The 25,569-nt window shown below is 38.1% G+C and overlaps 1 protein-coding gene across 3 annotated transcripts in view; it reads left to right on the top strand.

Moving 5' to 3' along the window:
• The window catches only part of TRPM6 (transient receptor potential cation channel subfamily M member 6), a 165,427-nt gene that overhangs the window by 123,552 nt on the left and 16,306 nt on the right, over nt 1-25,569 (top strand). For all 3 annotated transcript variants that reach the window (NM_017662.5, NM_001177310.2, NM_001177311.2), the window contains exons 26-35: nt 1,236-2,371; nt 2,562-2,674; nt 8,897-9,017; nt 12,002-12,093; nt 13,648-13,706; nt 16,456-16,481; nt 20,225-20,275; nt 21,744-21,809; nt 24,361-24,647; nt 24,921-25,003. In NM_017662.5, coding sequence (NP_060132.3) covers nt 1,236-2,371; nt 2,562-2,674; nt 8,897-9,017; nt 12,002-12,093; nt 13,648-13,706; nt 16,456-16,481; nt 20,225-20,275; nt 21,744-21,809; nt 24,361-24,647; nt 24,921-25,003 — 2,034 coding nt within the window. The remainder of the gene's footprint in view (nt 1-1,235; nt 2,372-2,561; nt 2,675-8,896; nt 9,018-12,001; nt 12,094-13,647; nt 13,707-16,455; nt 16,482-20,224; nt 20,276-21,743; nt 21,810-24,360; nt 24,648-24,920; nt 25,004-25,569) is intronic.

The raw sequence follows: 25,569 nt of genomic DNA, 5'->3' as shown, positions 1-25,569 counted from the left end.
TAAGGACACCAGTCATATTGGATTAGGATTCAGCCTGATGATCACATTTTAACTTGATTACTCTATCAATATCTGATTTCCAAATCAGGTCACATTCTATGGTTCTGGGGTTAAGGCTTCAACATATCCTTTTTGGGGGATACAAAACCAACCTCATCCACATACAGAGATAATTACAAAGAAATGTACAGACAAATAGTAGCCATCTCTCAATTAAATTAATTTTTACTTTTTTTTTTTTTTTTTGAGATGGAGTCTTACTCTGTCGCCCAGGCTGGAGTGCAGTGGCGTGATCTTGGCTCACTGCAACCTCCGCGTCAGTCTCCTGAGTAGCAGGGATTACAGGTGCCTGCCACCATGCCCAGCTAATTTTTGTATTTTTTAGTAGAGATGGGATTTCACCATGTTGGCCAGGTTGGTCACAAACTCTTGACTTCAAGTGATCCACCTGCCTCCCACAGTGCTGGGATTACAGGCCTGAGCCATTGCACTTGGACTAATTGTTACATTTAATTCAATTTACTTGCAACTTACATTTACATTTGAAAGGTGAACATGTGTTGTGTTGCTTTTACATGAATCAATGACTGAACATCATAATCTTGGGTTAAAGTATTCAAAACAACTTTAAAAATTTGCATTAGGCTTTTTCTGAATATAAGTCTTCTAAAATGGATTTTGTTTGAAACTTGGGAAGCCTGTTTGAACAGTAGAGTTAGAGATTTTTTTTTTAATTTTAAAGATCTGTGTTTTTTTTCTTTTTCTTAATTACATATTTGATTATTGATTCTGTTTCTGTCATTCTTATTTCTTCCTCAGGATCTCCTACATGCATTAAAATTGTACGGTGCTTGCTGTTAGGAAGTATTCAAGTGTTTGTCATGTAAATGAATAAATATATTAATGAGTAAAAATGGGATGATTGATCACACAATTGAAGGAATCATTAGCTGGAACTGGAAATGTGGTTCTGAAATATTAAAAAGAAATAAGGGCTGGAAATGTAGATATGTAAGTTTTTCCTCTCCTATGGGTAGTAGTGGGCATTATAGGAGTGGATGAGATCACCTGAGTTGAGAGTTATGTATTGGGCGAAGAAGAAGGCAAAAGACAGACTTAACCTAGGGAAGCAGCTGAGGCTCAGGAGCCATTTAAGGATGGAAGTAGGGTAGGAAGAGAGCAAATTCCCACTGGCTTAATGTGCTTGTTGGTTTTCTCCCTTCCTTCACCACTAGGGTTACAGAGATGTACTTCCAGCTGAAAGAAATGAATGAAAAGGTGTCTTTTATAAAGGACTCCTTACTGTCTTTGGACAGCCAGGTGGGACACCTGCAGGATCTCTCTGCCCTGACTGTGGATACCCTGAAAGTCCTTTCTGCTGTTGACACTTTGCAAGAGGATGAGGCTCTCCTGGCCAAGAGAAAGCATTCTACTTGCAAAAAACTTCCCCACAGCTGGAGCAATGTCATCTGTGCAGAGGTTCTAGGCAGCATGGAGATCGCTGGAGAGAAGAAATACCAGTATTATAGCATGCCCTCTTCTTTGCTGAGGAGCCTGGCTGGAGGCCGGCATCCCCCAAGAGTGCAGAGGGGGGCACTTCTTGAGATTACAAACAGTAAAAGAGAGGCTACAAATGTAAGAAATGACCAGGAAAGGCAAGAAACACAAAGTAGTATAGTGGTTTCTGGGGTGTCTCCTAACAGGCAAGCACACTCAAAGTATGGCCAGTTTCTTCTGGTCCCCTCTAATCTAAAGCGAGTTCCTTTTTCAGCAGAAACTGTCTTGCCTCTGTCCAGACCCTCTGTGCCAGATGTGCTGGCAACTGAACAGGACATCCAGACTGAGGTTCTTGTTCATCTGACTGGGCAGACCCCAGTTGTCTCTGACTGGGCATCAGTGGATGAACCCAAGGAAAAGCACGAGCCTATTGCTCACTTACTGGATGGACAAGACAAGGCAGAGCAAGTGCTACCCACTTTGAGTTGCACACCTGAACCCATGACAATGAGCTCCCCTCTTTCCCAAGCCAAGATCATGCAAACTGGAGGTGGATATGTAAACTGGGCATTTTCAGAAGGTGATGAAACTGGTGTGTTTAGCATCAAGAAAAAGTGGCAAACCTGCTTGCCCTCCACTTGTGACAGTGATTCCTCTCGGAGTGAACAGCACCAGAAGCAGGCCCAGGACAGCTCCCTATCTGATAACTCAACAAGATCGGCCCAGAGTAGTGAATGCTCAGAGGTGGGACCATGGCTTCAGCCAAACACATCCTTTTGGATCAATCCTCTCCGCAGATACAGGCCCTTCGCTAGGAGTCATAGTTTTAGATTCCATAAGGAGGAGAAATTGATGAAGATCTGTAAGATTAAAAGTAAGGAATAAACATTTAAAATATCAGCATTAAGTCCTTTGCATTGCTACTGGTTTTGTTTTGTTTTGTTTTTTAAATCTGTGACTCTTAACCACATTGTCATTCTCCCCATTCTCTCAGCTTTTTCTGTAAAACAAAATGTTCCCCACTTACTGTTGTCAACTTTCTCATGTAGACCATTTCCTTGCAGATCTTTCAGGCTCTTCAGAAATAGGGCAGGGAGCATGGGTCAAAGCGAAAATGCTAACCAAAGACAGGAGACTGTCAAAGAAAAAGAAGAATACTCAAGGACTCCAGGTGCCAGTAAGTGTACTGTTATTCTGTCTTTTAGGTTTTGAGCAGTCAAGGTAGTGGCCTATCTTAGTTTGATTTATCTTTACTGTAAAGTGCCATCTACACAAAATAACATTGTGTTGAAAGGATTGAAGATATAATTTGTTCCTCTTTTTAAGAGATGGGTGGGGTCTTGCTATGTTGTCCAGGCTGACCTTGAACCTCTGGGCACATGTAGTCCTACCACCTCAGCCTCCCAAGTAGCTGGGACTACAGGCATACACAACCACACCCAGATATAAATTTAAGAGTCATTAGAGTGGATATACTGCAATTTACTTATCTGCTAACATGTTGAAGGACATTTGGGTTGTTTTCAATTTTTGGCTATTCCAAAAAAGCTGTTATGAACATTTGTGTACAAGTCTTTTTGTGGACATATGTTTTAATTTCTCCTTGGTAAATACTTAGGAACGGAATGTCAGAGTCATATGGTAAGTGTTTTTTAATTTTTCAAGAAACTTCCAAACTGCTTTCCAAGGTAATCGTAACATTTTACATGCCCACCAGTAATTTATGAGCATTTCAGCTGTTCTACATCCTCACTGTCTTAGTTTGTTTTGTGTTGCTATAATAGAAATCTAAGACTGGGTGATTAATAAAGAAAAGAAGTTTATTTCTTACAGTTCTGGAGGCTGGGAAGTCCAGGGTGGAGGGAACATATCTGGTAGGGACTTCTTGCTGGTAGAGACTCTCTGCAAAATCCTAGGTGGCACAGGGCATCACATGGCAAGGGAGGCTCCTGAGAGAGCCAAACAGGCTTTCATAACAGATCCACTCTCATGATAAATAACCTATCCCCTCCATAATCCATTAGTCCATTAACTCATGAACGAATTAATGTATTCATGAGCCAGAGCCCTCATGATCCAGTCACCTCTTAAAGTCTCCATCTCTTAATATGATTACACTGGGAATTAAGTTTTAACATGAGTTTTGGAAGGAACAAACGTTCAAATCATAGCACTCGCCAATTCAGTATACTCAATCTTTTAAATTTTAGCCATATTAATGAATGTGTAGTGGTATCTCATGGTACAATTTCATTTGTATTTCCATAGTGACTAATGCTACTAGGCATCTTTTCATATGTTTATTTGCCCTCTGTACAGTCATGCATTGCTTAATGATGGGGATACTTTCTGAGAAATGTGTCATTAGGTGATTTCATCATGGCACAAACATCATGGAATGTACTTACACAAACCTAGATGGTCTAACCTACCACATGCCTAGTCTGTATGATGTAGCCTGTTGCTCCTAGGCTATAAACTTGTACAGCATGTTACTGTACTGAACACTTTAGGTAATTGTAACACAATGGTATTTGTGTATCTAAGCATATCTAAACATAGAAAGGGTCAGTAAAAGTACAGTATAAAAGATAAAAATTGGTACACCTATATAGGGCACTTACTTGCAGGACTTGGAAGTTGTTCTAGGAGTGTCAGTGAGTGAGCGGTGAGTGAATGCAAAGGCCTAGAGCATTACTGTATACTACTGTAGACTTTATAAACACTGTACATTTAGGCTACACTAAATTTATAAAAAACAAAATGTGCTACGATGTTATCACAGCTGTAATGTCACTAGGTGACAGGCATTTTTCAGTTGCATTATAATCTTATGGGACCACCGTTGTATTAGTGGTCTGTCATTGACTGAAATATTGTTATGCGGGGCATGACGGTATTTTTGGTGACATGTTTGTTCAGATCTTTGCCCATTTAAAAAATTGGGTTGTTGTCTTATTATAAAGTTGTGAGCATTTTAAAATATATGTTAGATATAAATCCTTTTTTGAGTAGATGTTTTTGCAAATATTTTGTCTCAGTGGTTTGCCTTTTAATTTTCGTAAACGTCCTTTGAAACCATAATTTTTTTGATGAAGTGTTTGATTCTTTTCTTTTATAGTCTATGATTTTTTGTATCACATTTAAAATATTTTTGCCAAGATCACTAAGACTTATTCTCATGTTTTCTTCTAGGAATTTTATAGTTTTAGCTCTTGCTTGTAGGTCTATAATCCATTTTGAGGTAATTTTTGTATATGAAGATAGCTAAGAATTGAGTTTCTTCTGCCCTTCTCTTTCTTTCTTGAATATGAATATCAAAATTTTCTACCATTTTTTGGTAAAAAGATATCTTTTTCAATTCTGTTCTTGACCATATTAACAATAATAGAAGATATCTTTTTTCTGTTGTTGCCTTGACATCTTTGTCAAAAATTAATTGACCATATAGATCACAATATGTATGGATCAATTTCTATCTCTATGCCAATATTATGTTATCTTGAATACAACTTTATAATAAATTTTGAGTCATATATTAAAGGTCAATTTTTCTTTCTTTTTCAAAAGTTTGGCTATTTTGTGTTCTTTGCATTTCCATATAAATTTAGAATCAGCTTGTCAATTTTTATAGAGAAGTGGACTGGGATTATGAATAGAATTGCCATAGATCTATATGTCGATGTGGGGAAAGTTGACATCTTAACAATAATGAGTCTTCTGATTCACGAACATGATGTATTTCTCCATTTAGGTCTTCTTTGACTTCTTGAAGTAATGTTTTATAGCTTTTAGACTACTGATCTTGCACATATTTTGTTAAATGCATCCCTATTTCATATTTTTGAATTTTATTATAACTGCCATTAGTTAACAATTTTAATATCTGATTATTTGTTTATGGTATATAGAAATTTTTTAATACTGGTCCTATATTTTGCAACCTTGCTAAACTTCTTTACTTGAGTAGATATTGTGTAGCTTTTTAAGAATTTTCTGTATACATGACCATGTCATCTACAAACATAGATAGTTTTACTTCTTCCTTTCAATCTGGACATGTTGTATTTCCTTTTCTTGCCTGATTACACTGAACAGAACCTCTGGTATAATATTGACTAGAAGTGATAAAAGCAGATATCTTTTCCTGTGTCTGTTCTTAGGGGAAAAGCATTTAATCCTTTACCATTAAGAATGAGGTTAGCTATAGGTTTTTCTATAGATGCCCCTTATCAGGGTGAAAACTTTCCTTCTGTTTTTAGTTTTCAGAGAATTTTTATCATTCATGGATATTAGCCTTTGTCAAATGCTTTTTCTGTATCTACTTAGGTGATCAGATATTTCTCCTTTTGATTTTGTTATTTTACAGTGAATTTCATTCATTAATTTTATAATGTTAGAATTCTTAGAATATTAAATTACCTTACTGGGATAAACCCCACTTGGTCATGATGTATTTTTTTTCATATTGTATTCATTTTGCTAAACTTTTCATTAGTTTTTTTGCATCAGAATTATTGAGGGATAGTTGTCTTTAGTTCACTTTTATTGTAATATCTTTGTCTGGTTTTGGTATCAGGATGATGCTTGGTTTATTTAGTGAGTTGGGAAGTATTCCCTCCTCTTCAGTTTTCTGGGTGAATTTGTAAGGAATTGATATTATTTCAGTCTGAAGTATTCGTAGAATTAACCAATGAAACCATCTTTGTGGGAAAGCTTTTAACTACAAATTCAATTTCTGTAATAGATATAGAGCTATTTAGGTTATGTAATTCTTCTTGAATGAGCTTTTTTTGTGTATGTCAAAGAATTTATTCATTTTGTTTAAGTTGTTTAATTTATTGGCATAATGTTCATAATCTTCTCTTATTATTCATTTATTGTCTTTGAGATCTGTGGTTAGTGACATCACTTCTTTTGTTCCTAACATTTTATTTTATTTATTCATTTATTTATTTTTGAGATGGAGTATTGCTCTGTCGCCTAGGCTGGAGTGCAGTGGCTTGATCTTGGATCACTGCAACCTCTGCCTCCCAGGTTCAAGCGATTCTCCCACCTCAGCCTCCCAAGTAGCTGGGATTACAGGTGCCCACCACCATGCCTGGCTAATTTTTGTATTTTTAATAGAGATGGAGTTTGACCATGTTGACCAGGCTGATCTCGAACTCCTGACCTCAGGTGACCCACCCGCCTCGGTTTCCCGAGTGCTGGGATTACAGGGATGAGCCACCATGCCCGGCTGGCCTGTTCCTAACATTTTAAATTTGGGTTTTCCCCTACCCTCCCCTCCTTTTTTTTTTTTTTTTTTTGACAGGGTCTCTCTCTGTCACCCAGGCTGGAGTGCAGTGGTGCAATCTCAGCTCACTGCAAACTCTACTTCCCAGGGTCAAGTGATTCTCCTGCCTCAGGCTCCTGAGTAGCTAGGATTACAGGCCTGTGCCACCCCGCCCAGCTGATTTTTGTATTTTTAGTAGAGACAGGTTTTCGACATGTTGGCCAGGCTGGCCTCAATTGATCCGCCTGCCTCAGCCTCCCAAAGTGCTGGGATTACAGGCATAAGCCACCATGCCCAGCCTCTGATTTCTGTTTCATTCATGCTTGCTCTTATCTTTATTATTTCTTTTGTTCTATTTACTTTGGGTTTAACTCTGGTCTTCTCTTTCTAGGTTTTTTTTTGTTAGTTAGTTTGTTTTTTTAGACAAAGTCTTTCTCTGTCGTGTAGGCTGGAGTGCAGTGGCACCATGTTGGCTCACTGCATCCTCCGCCTCCCGGGTTCAAGTGATTCTCCTGCCTCAGCCTCCCAAGTAGCTGGGACTATAGGCATACACTACCACACCCAGCTAACTTTTGTATTTTCAGTTTTGGCCAGGCTAGTCTTGAACTCCTGACCTCAGGTGATCTGCCCACCTCACCTCCCAAAGTACTGAGATTACAGATGTGAACCACCACGCCCAGCCTCTAGTTTGTTAAGGTAGAAACTTTGGTCATTGATTTCAGACTTCCTTCTTAATTTTTTTTTTTCTTTTGAGACAGGGTTTCACTCTGTCACCCAGGCTGGAGTGCAGTTGTCATCTCAGCTTATTGCAACCTCTGTCTCCCAGTCTCAAGTGATCCTCCCACCTCAGCCCCTTGAGTACCTGGGACCACAGGTGTGCCACCACACCTGGCTATTTTTTTTTTTTTTTTTTTTTGTAGAGACGGGGTTTCTTCATGTTGTCCAGGCTGGTTCTTAAACTCCTAAGCTCAAGCTATTCACCTGCCTCAGCCTCCCAAAAGTGCTGGAATTACAAGTGTGAACCACTGTGCCTGGCCTTCTTTTCTAATGTAGTCATTTAGTGCTATCAAATTCCCTCTAACCACTGTTTTAGCTCTTTCCTACAAATTTTGATGTGTTGTTTTTATTTTCATTCAGTGAGTCTTTTTATATTTCGTTTGGAAGTTTTAGATCTCAAGTAGCAATTCTGTAAGAATTCACCTTTCATGATCTTAATGCTCTGCCTTATTTAAAAAATGTTTACACTTATTTTTCCAAATAATAATCTGGATGCATTAAAAAAATACCTCAGCCTTTTTTAGAATGAGAAGCAGAAGCAAAGAGATTAGTATTGAGACAATTACATAAAAGAACCTTTTAGGGGAGAGATAAGAAAGGCTGTTCTTTCAGGAAAAATGCCATGAGTTTCTGGAATCCCAAGAAATATGCACTTAAGTAGATTTATTTTTGGAATAGTTCAAATGTCCAGAGTTCAACTAGAAATTGCAACTGAGTTCAATAATTCAAGCTTGGATTTATTTATTTATTGCTTTTGAGTTACCAATTTACCGCATTTGTTCTGCAGCTCGGAAGTATATAGGACGGTCATATTATTGGCTATCTATTATTTTAGTAATGAAGGAAAAGGGGCTCAGAGACATTAAGTGATTTTCCCAAATTCACATGGCTTCTAAATGACAGGGCTAGAATTCCAACACAAATTCTTTGGATTCTAATATTTTCTCAAAATATGATCTCCTATTGGCAGCATGAGCATCACCTGGGAACTTAATAGAGATTCAAATTCTTCCTCCTTCCAGACCTGCTGCATTAGAGATTCCAGAGGTGGGACCCAGTGACCTGTGGCTTAAACCAGCCCCCAAGCCCTTGGTGATTCTGATGTGCACTCAAGATTAAGAACCAAGGTGTGGAGCAGGGGTTCTCAGTCATGACTGCAAAGAGAAATCACATGGATGCTTGTGTCCTGCCAGCCTAAGTGATGGGATTTGTCAGCACTTCCCAGGCAATTGTCATATGCAGCCAGTGTTAACAGACACTGCCCTTCACCATGGTGCTTCTGTTAGTGTGACTCACAGTGCTTTTGAATTAATGTCACTGTGTTCCAACAAGTGTCTTTCTCTCCAGATCATAACAGTCAATGCCTGCTCTCAGAGTGACCAGTTGAATCCAGAGCCAGGAGAAAACAGCATCTCTGAAGAGGAGTACAGCAAGAACTGGTTCACAGTGTCCAAATTTAGTCACACAGGTATGTAACATCTACAATTTTGGATCCCAAAAACCCTGGTGGGGTTTTCTCAGGGTACGGTCTTTAGACCATTGGCGGTTCCTCCTGTTCTTTCACATGGAGATGAGGGAAAGAGAAGATGGCTACACTCTGTAAGGAAAATAGCATTTTTCTGTTTTTCATTTTTATGAAAGGGACAAAATTTTGTTTGTCTAAAGGACTCCAGAAAAGAAAAATTAAGATTTAGATAGTCTCTTGTATTCAAAGCTGTTGAACCTGACTCAGAGTGTTTTATCGAGACAGCATTCATTTAGTCTGATTTATGGATAGGGGATTGTCTAATTTTATAAATTCTTAAAGTACACATGACACTGATATGGACTGCTACACAGAATTCAGTGGGTTAAGTTATATTTGGTTATTTACTACTGTCTACATTTAGTGTTTATTCTGTGGGCAATTATCTCTTAATAAGCTTAATAATGGTGTTTGTAGAGGAGAGAAGATGGATCAACCAGCTAGGAATGAATACTATGGGCTAGGCCTGGACGGTGAAATAGGTCTGGACAGGTAAGATGAGGGCAGATTGTGAACAGAAAAGATAGCAATGATAGGAACTTTGGACTTCTTGCATTAGATAAGAGACATTTACCAATTTTTAAACAGAAAGGACTAAGTGATTAAGTAGTCATAAGGTTTTAAAAATATTTAAAATACTAAGTTTAAGGTACAGGTAGACATTGTATTGAAATTTAGGCTGTCAGACTTTTCTAAAAATCTGCTTGTTCATATGGTAAATGGTTCTCAACCAAGGGGTGATTTTACACGTTCCCTTCACTTTCCCCGTGGGACACTTGGGAATATCTGGAGATATTTTTGTTGTCATAACTAAAGTGGGGGGAATGCTCTTGCCACCTAGTGAGTAGAGGCCAGGGATGCTGTTAAACATCTTACAATGAACGGGATAGATAGGTCCTCATGACAATTATCCAGCCCAAAATGTCATTGCTAAGGTGGAGAAACCCTGATTTTATGTTTAAAAATACTCAGTTGTCTGTTAAATCACTGAGAATCAAGTGGTCTCTAAGCTGAAAGAGACATTTAGAGATTAAATTAGTCAGCACCCCCTCAATTTATAGATATAGCGTGAGAGCTTAATTTACCTTGACTTTAATCATACCATTTACTAGAGACCATAAATTTGGATAAATTAAATCCCACACCTAAAGACATGACTCCAGGACCAATTATAAATAGATTGATTTTATTTATAAGTGTCATATATTTATATTATATATATTAGGTATTATATTTTTTATAAATAGTATAATTTATGTTTAGGATGTTATATATCATTCTTAAATCATTTAAGTTCTTTCCAACGAATTTCAAACATCGAGAGATACAAGTGGCAGGAGGTTTCTGGGAAAGAATCTCATTAAGTCAGATGATCAGAGGGAGAGGTAAAGCTAGGGAAATAGGTTGATCCGAGTGCCCGGCTAATCTGAGTGAGTAATGAGGCCCACTGTCTTTCTTGAACCACATCCAGAGTTGAGAAGCTTGTTTTTTTGAAACGTGTCTGAGTTAATAATTAATTGAAAAAGAATTAAAAAAATAAAAGTCTGTGAATAGGCAGATGCCCTGTCAGGTAGCATTCTCTCTCTCTGTTTTTATTTTAAAGACAGGGTCTGGCTCCATCACCCAAGCTGGAGTATAGTTACGTGATCACAGCTCACTGCAGCCTTGACCTCCTGGGCTCAAGCGATCCTTCCACCTCAGCCTCCCGAGTAGCTGGGACTATAGCATGTGCCACCATGCTTGGCTAATTTTGTTTATTTTTGTAGAGATGGGGGTCTCACTATGTTACCCAGGCTGGTCTCAAACTCCTGTCCTCAAGTGATGCTCCTGTCTTGGCCTCCTAAAGTGCTAGGATTACAGGCATGAGCCGGCTACTCCACTTGGCCTTCAAATAGTATTTTTTATACTTCTTGTATACTTTTTTTTTTCCAGCACAAAATCATTAGGAAAAATGCAACCGTTATCTCCTATTTTTAGTCAGGACTCCTAATAAGTATTATTCTCAGAATTAATCCAACCAAGTATTCACTAAATATTTATTATGCATCTACTATATGTAGTAACTCTGTAGGTACCAGCTACAAAAAGAATAACAGTAATGAACCTCATCATCCTTTTTAATAAAAGGCTAAAAATTAAATCTATTTATTTGATGGCATTCCTTTCTTTTTTTTTTTTTTTTTTTGAGACAGTCTCACTCTGTCGCTCAGGCTGGAGTGCAGTGGCACAGTCTTGGCTCACTGCAACCTCCGCCTTCGGGGTTCAAGCGATTCTCTTGCCTCAGCCTCCTGAGTAGCTGGAATTACAGGTATGCACCACCACACCTGGTTCATTTTTATATTTTTAGTAGAGACAGGGTTTCTCCATGTTGGTCAGGCTGGTTTTGAACTCCTGACCTCGGGTGATCCACCCGCCTTGGCCTCCCAAAGTGTTGGGATTACAGGTGTGAGCCACGGCGCCTGGCCTCTATTATTCTTTTATTGTTCTTTTTAAGTAGCCTACTATGATGTTTGATGCAGTTGCTAAGGAAGGATTCCTAACTAGACTAGGAATGGAATTAAATTTCACATATTTTAAATAAAGCATGTGCAATAGTGTGCAGGATAAGGTAGATATAAAAATTGCTAAAGGTGTTGTCCTATAAGAGGACAGTTTATGGATCATTTAATTCTTGACTTCAATAGAGAAGTGTAAGTTGTTATAAATGTGAAAGTAACTATAGAAGAATAGAAATAGAATATATAGTTTTCAACCTCTTGAGAAAAAAAGGATAAAGGAAACTTGGTAAAACTTGCTAAAAACAGAAAGGGAAAACTATATCCAAGTTTAAATGAATGTACTGTGTTCAGATTTTTCTATTTGGGAACTGTGATTTGAATGTAACACATTTTCATGTATTTTCTAATCTTTCTCTTCCTCTTTACAAGGTGTAGAACCTTACATACATCAGAAAATGAAAACTAAAGAAATTGGACAATGTGCTATACAAATCAGTGATTACCTAAAGCAGTCTCAAGAGGTAAAAATATTTTAGGAGTTAAAAAAAAAAGCATTCGAGCATGCAGTGCTACTCTTGACTACGCCCATTTTACCTTTATGTCCCTTAATTGGCTTCTACTTTTTATTGACAGTCTGCTTAATCTTTGTTTTGAAGCTATGCTCAGTTGAATTTCTGTTCTATTTTTTCAATCCCCTCCACATTATTCTTTCTTTGACATTTTTCTTTATGCAATTTACCTATCCACTCAATAATTTATCCTGGGGATGTTCAGCATGAGAGAGAAAGAATTCAGGAGTTTTCGAAACTGTTTTCAAATATATGAAAGTTGTCATGTGGAAGAAAAATAAGCTATTTTCTATACACTTTTAAGAGGTAGATCTAGAATCAACATATAGAAGCTACTGGGAGACAGATTTCAGCCCAATCTGAGAAGAAATTTTTAGCAATTGGAGCTTTCCAAGCATGGAATGATTTATTTCTGGAAGTAGTGAGTCCCTCACTAGTGCGATCAGTCAAGCATAGGCTGAACAAACCTCTTTGCAGGCATGATGGAGGGGATTCAAGCCTTGCAGGGTAAAGACCCTTAGTGTTTCTTCAATGCTGAGATTCTCCGGTTTTGCAGTCTGTTTTTCTTGCTGTCTAAAAATATGGGCCTTGTTTTGTGCCATCCGCCACGTGGGAAGTGTGAATAGTTAGCTTAACCCAAGAAACCTAATTTTAAGTCTTTGTTTGAATATTACCTGTTTGAACTTGAGAACTGTTGAGACATGACCTTTATGGCTAACAACCTCAGATATTCTTGTAGGAATAGCATCTGTGAAAGATTTTCAAAGTAAAGTGTCAGACTACTTGAGGGTAATTGGAAGCAGGGACCTGTGTTCAAATTCTGGCTCTGCCACTTTCTACGTTTCAAAGCTATGTACATCAGTTAACCTATGAGCTTCATTACCTGTATCTCTAAAGTGGGACTAATGCCATCCTTATAAGATTATTGCTAATGGACAGCAAAAATAACAACTATGAAAAGGCCTACCTAGAGTAATGCCTGGAGTATACTAAGTCTCAGGAAATAATTGAATTTGAGTAGGAAATCAAATGAGGTAAATCCAAGGTAATGTTATTTTAAATAATCATCATGACCTGAGATGAGAATCTTTTCATAAGACATAACAATGTGATGATCCGTGTTGTCTGTCAACTTGTACTTTCATTTTTCTCCATGTCATTAGCTGATTGTGTATGTTCAGTCCTGATTAACTGATTGTGTATGTTTAGTCCTGATTTTCTATGTTCAGTCTGTAAAAAATTTCATATATTACATTTTCTGTTTGATATCTCCTTAAAGGTAATTTCATTCTGTTAAAGTCCATCAACACACTGAGTAACTCTGACATTGCTCTAACATTATGCATCTTTCTAGCTTGGGTTTAGTATGTTTTTTAAAAGAAGAATATTCAGGTAGATGAAGAAAAAAGAAGGATTCTCCAAGGAGCGTGTTTGGCAGATCATTCCTAGAAACTTGGGGTGGGACTATGTTGAGCACACACGTAACGGCCTTTCCCTTCTGCTCAGGATCTCAGCAAAAACTCTTTGTGGAATTCCAGGAGCACCAACCTCAATAGGAACTCCCTGTGAGTATTTCTAAATGTTTATGTTTAAGAATCTTTGGCTTCCATTTTTTTAACTTGGTTAGGAGCAAAGGTTTAATTTAGTCAGAAAGGGAGAGAAAAGAAGTGTGTGTCAAATGACAATACTTTTCTCTTGTTAGCAGAATGAAAATGATTTCTTCTCCAAGTTTTCCTGTTTCTGGCAACAAGATCTCACCTGAGTTCCTTTTAAGAATATAACGAAACACATACTCCTACAACAAATTAAACATTTGCCTTTTCAGTGTCAAAACACACATAGAATAATGATTATCATATCTTTTTGGATAGATAAGATTGTGAATTTGCATAAAAGAGTAGAAATCAGTCTGTCTTGCTTAAAGAAACAGACTTAGACTGAACACCTGATTACGTTTATTCTTTAATTTTAAAAATAATTATTTTTTCCTTTTAGTTTATAAGGCATATCTTTTTTGTTTTTGGTTTCTCAGTAGCATGCTAATCATCAAAGCAATAACTCTGAGAAAGATTGAGACAGAGAGGGAGAGGAAGACTGGTTGGAGAGAGAAAGAAGATAGAGAACTCACTTGAGTGTCTTCCTGGAATTTTATTAGTATATATCTAGAGAAATAAAAGTTGTAAATCAACCAAGCAAAGATAATTCTATTTTATTTGTAGTATTTTCTGGACTTTCCTAGTTGCATCATCACATTAACTATTCATACAGGTAGAATTCAAAACCATCTACTCTATGGAAGTGCCAGTTGATACCCAGCAGGTAGAAGGTGACTTTCAGTTTGCAGTCAGCTCTGTTTAGAGATGGTCTTTCTCTAGGGCTCCCATCATGGACCCTGTGCAAGCCTGCCTCCAGACTTAAAGGACACATGACTTTCTTCTCCCAAAGGTTCAGTAGTTTGTGCTCATGCAGAGTAGGGGTTTATTGCAGCATGAAATTGAACAATAATCGTAATTGTACTTTCTTTCTTAAGGACCTTAAATGCTGAAGATATTATTTGAATGTATTTATTCAGACTCGCCTGTGGCCACTTGTGCATTTGAGCAGGGCAAGTAACAGTTTAAAGAGAACTAATTTCAGCCTGTGAACATTTAGCAGCCACGTGGGCTAATGAAACTGATTTGTAGGCTTGTCCAGAGACATTCACAGACTCATTTGTAGGCATCTGCTTTGCATAGTTCAGGAATCCTTTAGTTTAATTGATCCAGAAGAACACAAACACAGTTACATCTTATATATATTGTGTGATCACAAAGCTAATTAAAAAACAACAACTGCTTTTCAATTAGCTTAGGATGTACACAGTAAATGACTTACATACATATCTGGTGCTCATTTTTCTATAAAAACACTTGCAGCGCTGAAAAGTTACTTCTTTATTGATACTATAGGGATTAGATGTAACTAATACTTCTCTTTCAAATATATATACAGTCATGCATCAATTAACGACAGGATACATTCTGAGAAATGTGTCATTAGGTGATTTCATCGTTGTGCAAATATCGTAGAGTGCATTTACACACACCTAGATGGTCTAACCTACTACACACCTAGGCTATATGGTTTAGCTTATTGTTCCTAAGCTACAAACCTGTACAGTATGTTACTGTACTGACTACTGTAAGCTATGGTATTTGTGTAACTAAACACAAAAAAAGTACAGTAAAAATACAGTATAGAAGATAAAAAATGGTACACCTGTATAGGATGCTTACAATGAATGGAGCTTGCAGGACTGGAAGCTTGCTCTGGGTGTCAGAGTGAGTGAGTGCTGAAAGAATGTGAAGGCCCAGGACATTACTCTACACAAGCGGAGACTTTATGTGTACACTTAGGCTACACTAAATTTCTATAATTTTTTTCTTTTTAAAATAACCAATTAACCTTAGCTTTACCGTAACTTTTTTACTTGATAAACTGTAAAACATTTAAAAATCTTTTTGACTCTTTTACAATAACACTTAAAACACAAATACATTGTATGGTTGTACAAAAATATGTTCTTTCTTTATATCCTTATTCTAGAAGCCATTTTCTGATTTTAAATTATTTATTTATTTTCACTTCTTACACTTTTTAAAAATATGAAGACACAAATACACACATTAGCCTAGACCTACACAGGATCAGGATCATCAATATCACTGTCTCCTGCCTCCTCATCTTGTCCCACTGGAAGGTGTTCAGGGGCAATAACACACATGGAGCTGTCACCTCCTATGATAACAATGCCTTCTTCTGGATACCTCCTGAATGACCTGCCAGAGGCTGTTTACAGTTAACTTAAAAAGAAAACATAAATATAAGGAGTACATGCTAAAAGAATGAAAAAGAGCATAATATAATAAATACATAAACCTGTAACATAGTCATCCATCATGATCATCAAGTATTATGTGCTGTACATAGTTGTATGTACTATATTTTTATATGACTGGCAGCACAGTAGGCTTACTTACACCAGCATAATTACAAACACATAAGTAATGCATTGCGCTGTGACATTATGATGGCTAAGACATCACTAGGTGTTGGGAATTTTTCAGCTCTGTTATAATCTATGGGACCATTGTAATATATGCTGTCTGTTGTTGACCAAAACATCATTAGGCAGTACATGACTGTATATGTATTTCACATGTATATAAAATATATACTTTGTGTTGTTACTGTTCCATGTGCTGTTTCCTTTTTTTGATAACTGTAAGATTTAAGGCAGCATTATCTAAACAACTTCATTTTTTTTTCAAACAGGCTGAAAAGTTCAATTGGAGTTGACAGTAAGTTTTTCTGTTTAAACATTTTATTTTTTATTTTTTCATCTTTTTAATGCGAGGTTCACTGTCCTGCTGATATTTTTGTCATTCTTGAAATTGTATTTATGATTTTTGTCCATCATGCAATGTAGAAAGTTCAGTAGAAGAGTAGAAAGTTGAATATCTTTCTTCAGACAAATTGGGATTGATGTCTGGTTTAAAACTTTTTGAATGACTGTTTCTGACTGTTATTTCTCCATTTTCTGTGTGAATGAGAGTATAACCACTGAGCTCATTTTGCTCACCAACTCTTACTGTCCTTTTGTTTTTTCACACATTACTCATTAAGAGCCATTTATAAGATTGTTATATGGGTGCCTTTTCCTGTAGGGTTTTAGTAAGATCTGGGGCCCCAAATGGCTAAATAGGATTAGGTCATGTGAGACAGCTCCCTGGTAAAGCCACTATAATTACTCTCAAACTTGACTACAATTTACAAACTCCTTTCCATATTCTTGACTCCTTGATGTAAAGGCACCTTCATCTTCTGTGTTCTTGTTCCATCACACTTTCTTGGGTTTCCAGTACTCCCCCACCTCCTTTGCAGTTGATTCCTTCTCCTCAGCCTACTAACAAATTTAGGTTGTTTCTATACAAAGGAAACAAATAGTCTTTTTCTTGATTTACCTAGCTTTCAAGCTACCACTCCAACCCTTCACCTCCAAATTAATTGAAAGAGCAATTAACATTTGATCTTTAGCCCATGGGGTGTGCCCCATCACTTTTCTGAAACTCCACTACAACTGCTAACTCACTTGACTCTTCTCAGTTCTTGTTGAACTCATGGCATTTGATATTGGCCATTTTTCCTTCATGGCACCCTCTCTTTTCTATGTTTCCTTGAGGCTCTTCTTCTTTGGCTGTTCTACTTCTTTGTCGACTTATTTTGGTCTTTCTGAGAGCCTCTTGTTCCTTCGTGCAAGCTGGAAATCTTAAGTCATTTACAATCTCCTTCCCACCCCATTGCTCTTAGCTATTAACCTTGCCTTCTAACTCCGTCCCTCCCCCGCCACTCCCCACCCCCTCATCTTCAGAGTGATCTGTTTGGTCTACCCTACTGCTCCTGCCTTAAAGCCACCATTATTTATTTTCCAAAACAGAAGTGTATGCTTTCGTTTGCCCTTGAGTTTGTCTTAGTCTGATTGGTTTGTCTCCTTTTAAACTTTCCTATGTTTCTATCAGAATTATCTTTATGAATGCTAAATCATCACTCAGGTAGAAGCCTTCAATGGCTCCCTGTTACCCAAAGGTAGACTGCAAACCCCTGAGTTTTTCCTCAATGCTCTTGAAAGCTGGATCTCAATTCAAATTTCCAGGCCCATAGGCATGATCCCTTTCATTCATTATTTCTGCCTTGCAGAATATGACTGACCACATAGTAACATCTCCATGTGGAGGTCTAAAAGGTGTCTCAAACAAAATGTTCCAGCACTGTCCTCTCTCATCTCAGGAAATGGCAACTCTATCCTCCCAGTTCCTCAGGCCAAAGTCTTGGAATACTTGTCTTCCATTTTTTCACATCCCTACATCCCATCTATCAGTAAATCTTTCAAAATATATCAAGACTCTGATAATGTTTTGCCATTTCCACATAACACCATTTTTTTTTTTTTTGAGATGGAGTCTCACTTTGTCGCCCAGGCTGCAGTGCAGTGGCGCGATCTCAGCTCACTGCAAGCTCTGCCTCCTGGGTTCATGCCATTCTCCTGCCTCAGCCTCCCGAGTAGCTGGGACTACAGGAACCCACCACGCCCGGCTAATTTTTTGTATCTTTAGTGGAGATGGGGTTTCACCGTGTTAGCCAGGATGGTCTCAATCTTCTGACCTCGTGATCTGCTCGCCTCGGCCTCCCAAAGTTTTGGGATTACAGGCGTGGGCCCCCGCGCCTGGCCATAATACCATTTTTAAGCAGTTGTAATCTCTTCCTTGGATTATAGTATGGCCTCCAAACTATTGTTCTCTAGTAGTCTTTTTTCCAGAAACAGCCAGAATAATCCTTTTAAACTGAAAGTTGAACTGAGTCACTCTTGCTCAAATGGCATTCCTCCTCACTTTGCAAAAGCAAAGTCCAAACAGAGTCTACAATACTCTGTTCTGCTTTCCAGCCACCCCTCAACCTCATTTCTGTCAGTGCATTTCACTGTGGCTACACTCTCCTTAAACATGACAAGCATGGACCTGCCCCAGGGCATTCACACTTGCTGTTACTTATCACTGGAATACTCTTCATTTATACATATTGCTGCCCCTCTCTTCCTTCAACTCTGTGCTCAAATTTCACCTTATGAGAGAGGCTTTGCCTAACCACCCTATATAAAACAGCAACTTTCCTTTCCCCATGCTTTCTAACTCTCTTAAGTTGATGCATACACACACACACACACACACACGCACACACACACACACTATACTATATGCACTATATATTTATTTTCTATTTCCTTTTACTAGAATGGAACTAGAGACTTTATCTGTTTTGATTACTGCTCTTCCTCTTGAGCATAGACCAGTGCCTGGCACATAGTAGGTACTCAATAAATGTATATTGAATAAATACCAATGTGGTCTCACAGCTCCTTAAGCAGTGAAGCCAGGACTGAAACTCAGTTTTATCAGACTCAGATGCCCATACACTTTAAGCATTTCACACTGTTTATGAAGGCCCTACCTTCCAGGTGGAATTAATGTGTTCCATAAACCTCTGTATATACCTTTATTACGTATATTACTTTAACTGTATTGTGATTATAGTTACCTGTCTCTCTCTCCTAATACATTTGCTTTTCGGTAGGGTGGGAACCACACCTTACCCATATCTCTCATGCCTAGTATGATCCATAGTGGGAGAGGAATACTTTTTGTTTTTATTGATGACTTCAGAAAGAAACAGTCTTTTCTGCTGATCTTACTTTTTGCCAACACTCCCTAAAGGAAGTGATTCTCGTTCCTTTCCTTATCCAGCAACAAAAACCCAGAGAGATCTGCGAAATTGGGCTCATTATGCTGCTTACTCTGCGAGGTATAAAACAGTTGCCATCATGAGACCAAAGTTCTCCACTTTAATTTTGATTTTATGAAATAGCAAAACTGTTGCAAGGGATTTCTCTAGAGCCTTGTAATTTAGGACTGGAGCAGACAGAAGAGAATGAGTTAAACTTGGAAGAGGTGTTCCCAACACATAGTCCTTGTATAACCAAACAAATCTCTTGGTGCTATATTATCCACCCTCTTCTTTGTTTCCAGTATATAGCTTTTAATGTGTTTTCAGCATTTTGTTGTTATTTTAGGTCAGTGAAGTAGTCTGTTAATAACTTGGTATTAATACTGTCTTTCTACGGGCACTGCATCTTGGTAGGGAGCTCAGAGAATCATGCTTCTGGGATGTCGTGAAGTATGATGGGCAGCTGAGTGCCTTCTGCAACCCAGAGGTGTAATTGATTCAGAGGAAATACATCTTTGAGGCTAATATTACCTGCCTTTCTTCAATTCCCTATATAAATATGTTTGGAGATATTACATTGATGATTGGAAGCTGTCAGGATACCATGCGCAATACTGTGGTTAAAAAATATTAGGCAAGCTTTTTCGAATACTGAGAAGCCATTCTGATTAACCTGTTCAATAATAACTTTGAAGGCAATATATTCATAAACATGTATTTATCTCCAGCCATGTAATTAAAATGCCAATCTCCTCTCTAATTTCAGAGATCTCAGCCTCCTTAAAAAGCCCTCAAGAGCCTCACCATCATTATTCAGGTAGGATGCATATGCACATAGACATGTCAGCTGAGCTAAATGTCTGTGCTTCTGCATTTGTAAACAGAAACACTGACAAATTCTGTGTTACTGACATGGCTCGCGACTTGAAAAGTTATTGTTCACTTTGATGGGAAGAACATTCCAATTTCTAACTTTGCCATTGACTTGGGAAAACAAGTTTTCAGAATTTAAGAGAATTTGCATTTTTGCAAAATGTTTGCATTCTCAAGTTCCAGATTGCAAAGTAGAAAGATGACCTTGAAATCTAAAAATTCTTTGCACGCTCAAAGCAGCCCCAAGCCAGAGATCTCAATGTTTTGGACTGGGGAAAAGGCAGACCTGAAAGTAGTTCCTTGAGGGAGGGTTTTGTACCCTCAATGGGGCCTCAGTGAGTATGATCACTGAATGAAGGCCAACCCCACAAAGTGAGTTCAACAAAGATGTTATTAAACAAAGATGTCAAGGGTCTTGACTCTCTTAAGCAACATCACTTCACAGTGCTTCAGTTGTCTTTCTTTCAAAGTGGGAATAATTGTACTTGCCCTTCCTGAGGAACAGTCTGCCAAAGGGCTAGTTGAGAATTAAGAGGAAAACACTTTGAAATGCAAAGCAATATAAAAACCAACTGGACTTGTGCCATTGGATGGTTTCTTGGGAGTCATTGCTCTCAGCATTGGATGAGATAATACATGGGCAAGCCTTTTACAAATCTAAAGCTCAATACATGAGTAAGAGCTTATTGGTGCGATAATTACTGTTATAATTATATAAGGTTGTTTGTTCAGGGTCTAGTAATAGATTGCCTTATCCTGAATTCTCCTTTGTAGTGAATAGAGTTGCAGTGGATTCCAGACTCCTCAACCCAGGCTCTTACAACTGAGTCTTTCAGCTCGGCAGTAATCTATTATTTTGACTCCAGCTGTCAACTTAAGAAAGTCTCTAGTGAGGAATACTGTAACTCATATTGACTCTGATCTGTTAGGCTATAGCTCTTAACAGGAAAATGCAGATCACTCGCTTCTAATTAAAATCGGTCTTCGGCTCTCTCTGGAAAAAGAAGATGAACTGTGCAAAGTGAACAGTAGGTGTCCCCACAGCCCACCGTGCTTTGGATTTGCTTCGGAAAGGAAAACCAAAGTCCACGGATTAAAATGCCATTTAAAAGAAAGTTCCACATATGTATGGATTAGTATGTGATTTGGTATTCAGGAGAGTGGAGGTGATAGTCCTACCTCAGACCATGTGACATAATCTCATATTAAATGCCTCTAAAATTGGGATTTCTTTCCTGTTTAAGGCATAGTTTATTTTTAAGACTGTATTATAGATTATATTTTTGATAATGGCAAAAATAAGAGGTCTTTGAAATTAAATAGCATTATATGAATATATTGATGTGGAGAGGCTTTCTGTAAATTCAGCCACTGATGCATACTTAAAATAGAAAATCTGTTTTTGTTTGCAGCCATTGAAAGGAATAATTTAATGAGGCTTTCTCAGACCATACCATTTACACCAGTCCAACTGTTTGGTGAGTAGCATTTCTACCTTCTTGAGTTTATGCCAGGACAGAGGCATAAAATCTGAGTGAATCAAAGGAAACCACATTGCATTATTTTAGTTGAAAATTTTGTTTTGTTGATAGTTGTAGTTTAGTGAGATTCATTTCCTAAAATGGAAATTCTTGTTAACTGTCATGGCCAGCATTCAGGGACAAAAGCTAATACTATGGGAATAAGACCTATAATGAGCAGCAGTTGGGAAGAAAGCAATAATATTGCACCTGGCATTCACTGACTCAAGGCTGGAAGTAAGTAGGAAAGAAAAGAACAAACCAACCATTTATAATAAGCACAGGAGAAAGCGATAAATGTCAATATGGTGAAAGCCAACAGGCATCTGAAGAGAAATGCTTTGTGTATTGTTTTTTGTTTATTTTGTTTTGTGTACACTAATTGCTCTTATCTCAGACTGCAAATGTCATTTTAAAAGTCTGGAGTAGTAAAGAAAAACAATCTCACCCTGGCTAAAGCTATCAAAATTTCTCTGTCTGGCAGGATAAGACATGAGCAAGTTGACAATATAGCAAGGGTCCCCAAAGTGTCCTTGATCTTGATTCTTCTCACACTGTTCACATGGGGGCAGACCAGGTTGGCTTCTGATTGTTTTTATTTATTTATTTTTATTTTTATTTTTTTTTTGAGATGGAGTTTCACTCTCGTTGCCCAGGCTGGAGTGCAATGGCGGGATCTTGGCTCACTCTAACCTCTGCCTCCTGGGTTCAAGTGATTCTCCTGCCTCAGCCTCTCATGCAGCTGGGATTACAGGCGTGCACCACCACGCCCAGCTAATTTTTGTATTTTTAGTAGAGATGGGGTTTCACCATGTTACTAAGGCTGGTCTCAAACTCCTAACCTCAGGTGATCTACCCGCCCCAGACTCCCAAAGTGCTGGGATTACAGAATCACCGCACCGGCCTGGCTTCTGATTGTTAATGCAGATGCCTTCCCCTTCCATTTGGCCCCATGGCTGGCTTTGCAAATCAATAGCTCTGCTCTAAAGCCTCTAGGGATTTAGAACTCCAAAGAGATCTTCAGTGGCATTTATCTGGGCACCAAGAATAAATATTTGAAAGGTTTGAAAAGTTGTTACTGAGCATTACCTAGATGTGTTTATTGGTGAGGAATTAGATGCAAGAGGGAGAGAATGGATTCCTTTCTTGGTAAACCAGTACCGTGTTCATATATATATATATGCTTCTATATATATATAGAAGCAAAGGTGTAAGGGGGAAATGAAACACCAGCTGGGGCTGGACAGAAGTTGTATATAGATTATGTTGCTCTGTTAAGAAACATTAAACACTGACTTGGTAGTGTTTAGGTTCAACAGGAATTTTTCCCTCTTCAACAGCCTAAAAGTGGAAGCTATGTAGCAGTTAAGTAGTATTTTGTGTCTAAAATCCTTTAAGTGGGATTGAGTTTGTATCTGAGGTTGTAATTCACTTTAGACATGTTAGCCTATTTAACCTTTACAACAGCCCAATGAGAACAGTATTTTCATCCCCATTTTTCTGATGGGGAAATTGAGGCTTTAAGTAACTCGTCCAAAGGCACAAGGGAAGGAAGGAGAGGCTCTGGGGTATGACATTGGTACTGTTTGACTCCAGCTGAGTTAAACCATGCATTTTCAATGAAGTAATATCACCCCTAGAAAAAAATAAGTTTTTTTATGATATAAAGCACAGATCTACAGAGTACACATAAACAGATATACAGAATATTTTTAATACAAGTTGAGCTTGTATTAAATTCAAGCTGAAATCCACCTGAAATCCAAAATGCTCCAAAGGCTGAAACTATTTGAGTGCTAATGTGATGCCACAAGTGGAAAACTCCCACAACTGACCTCATGTGACAGGTCAGAGTCAAGACACTGTCAAAACTTTGTTTTGTGCACAAGATTATTAAAAATATTGTATACAATTACTATGAGGCTATATGTATAAGGTGTATATGAAAAAGATGAATTTTGTGTTTGCGCTTGGGTCCCATCCCCAAGATATGTCATTATGTATATGCACATATTCCAAAAATCTGAAAAAATCTAAAATTTGAAACACTTCTGGTCCTAAGCATTTTGGATAAGGGATATGCAACCTGTATTAATAGGTTGTGAGAAGAACAATTAGAAAAGAATGTCTAATTAGGCTCCTTAGGAGGATGATAATAAGCAACACCATCAGGTTAAACCGTCTCTTTAGAAGTATTTGTCTTTAACAAAAGAAGCATATCCTTACCACTTTGTTTTTGTCCAGTTATAGTCTACAGTAAGAACAGCTTAATTCTTTTGTATCCTCTGATATTTGTCCCTTCTCCCCTTCCCCACATCTACTAGACAATAAATAACATGGAAACATGGCCAGCCTGATACATGTCCTTATTCTGTTCTGTTCCCTGCTAGTCCCATTCTCCTCTGGTCATTTGGGTAACTGAACTGATTCTGCATTGATATTTAGGATACTATTCATGTCACAGACATGGCAATCTTATTGAATTCCTAGCCTTCACTTCTCTTTGCAGCAGGAGAAGAAATAACTGTCTACAGGTTGGAGGAGAGTTCCCCTTTAAACCTTGATAAAAGCATGTCCTCTTGGTCTCAGCGTGGGAGAGCGGCAATGATCCAGGTATTGTCCCGAGAGGAGATGGATGGGGGCCTCCGTAAAGCTATGAGAGTCGTCAGCACTTGGTCTGAGGATGACATTCTCAAGCCGGGACAAGTTTTCATTGTCAAGTCCTTTCTTCCTGAGGTTGTGCGGACATGGCATAAAATCTTCCAGGAGAGCACTGTGCTTCATCTTTGCCTCAGGGTAAGTCTGAAACTCAGAGACCCATAGCCCAGAGGGACAAGTCAAAGAAAAGAGATCTGGCTACATCCTTATCTAAGGCCATTATCCTCAACCCAAAGGGGAGCCTATTATTTTTTAGAGGTAGTATTGCTTTGTAGGACTTTTGCTTTTGGGGCAGGCAGTGGTGGGAGTTGAATAAGGCTAAAAATCACATTGGGGTAGCCTATAGTAATTTCATGATCATAGCTGTACAACAGTAAATCAGTATTTTTATCAGTGCTCCCTATTTTGTAGGAAATTCAACAACAAAGAGCTGCTCAAAAATTGATCTATACCTTCAACCAAGTGAAACCACAAACCATACCCTACACACCAAGGTAAGAAAATCTTGGCACCTTGGCCCTTTGTTTCAAGTAGGAATTTCTATCACGTCTTCTCAGCCCATTACTCATGAGAAATCTTATCCATGGGGAAATTCCCCATGATCTTATTTTTGGATTCTTCCTTCCATAATTTCGGAGACTGGCAAAAGGAGAATTAGAGACCCCAGAGATACCTTGGTGTTAATCACTGGACTTAAACATGAGTGGAAAAAAGAGGTTCAGAGGCTGTAACTAAGATTTCAGTTATGGGAAACAGACAGATCTTGGGTGTTATTAATGTCCAGGGGCATTATGGTAGAAAAATTATTCTTATTGTAAGCATGGTCTCTTCCCCCAATATCTTATAGAAAGTAGGAATTTTGTAAGAATAAACTCATGTTACTTTCACTTGAGTGTCTTCATACACTTGCATTCATTTATTGAGACACAGATCATAATTTGGTGCTGGACAGAGTAAAGCTTCATTCTTTCATTTACAAGGAACTTTATAGAGCACAGCAAGAAGAGTTGGGTCTGGTACTCATAAAAGAGTTGGAAAGTTACCTCAAAGCAAAGGGAGG

This window comes from Homo sapiens, chromosome 9 (assembly GCF_000001405.40).
Source record: "Homo sapiens chromosome 9, GRCh38.p14 Primary Assembly".
Classification (NCBI taxonomy): Eukaryota; Metazoa; Chordata; class Mammalia; order Primates; family Hominidae; genus Homo; species Homo sapiens.
The sequence above is the reverse complement of the archived record's forward strand: the minus strand, read 5'-3'. Positions and strand labels throughout refer to the sequence as shown.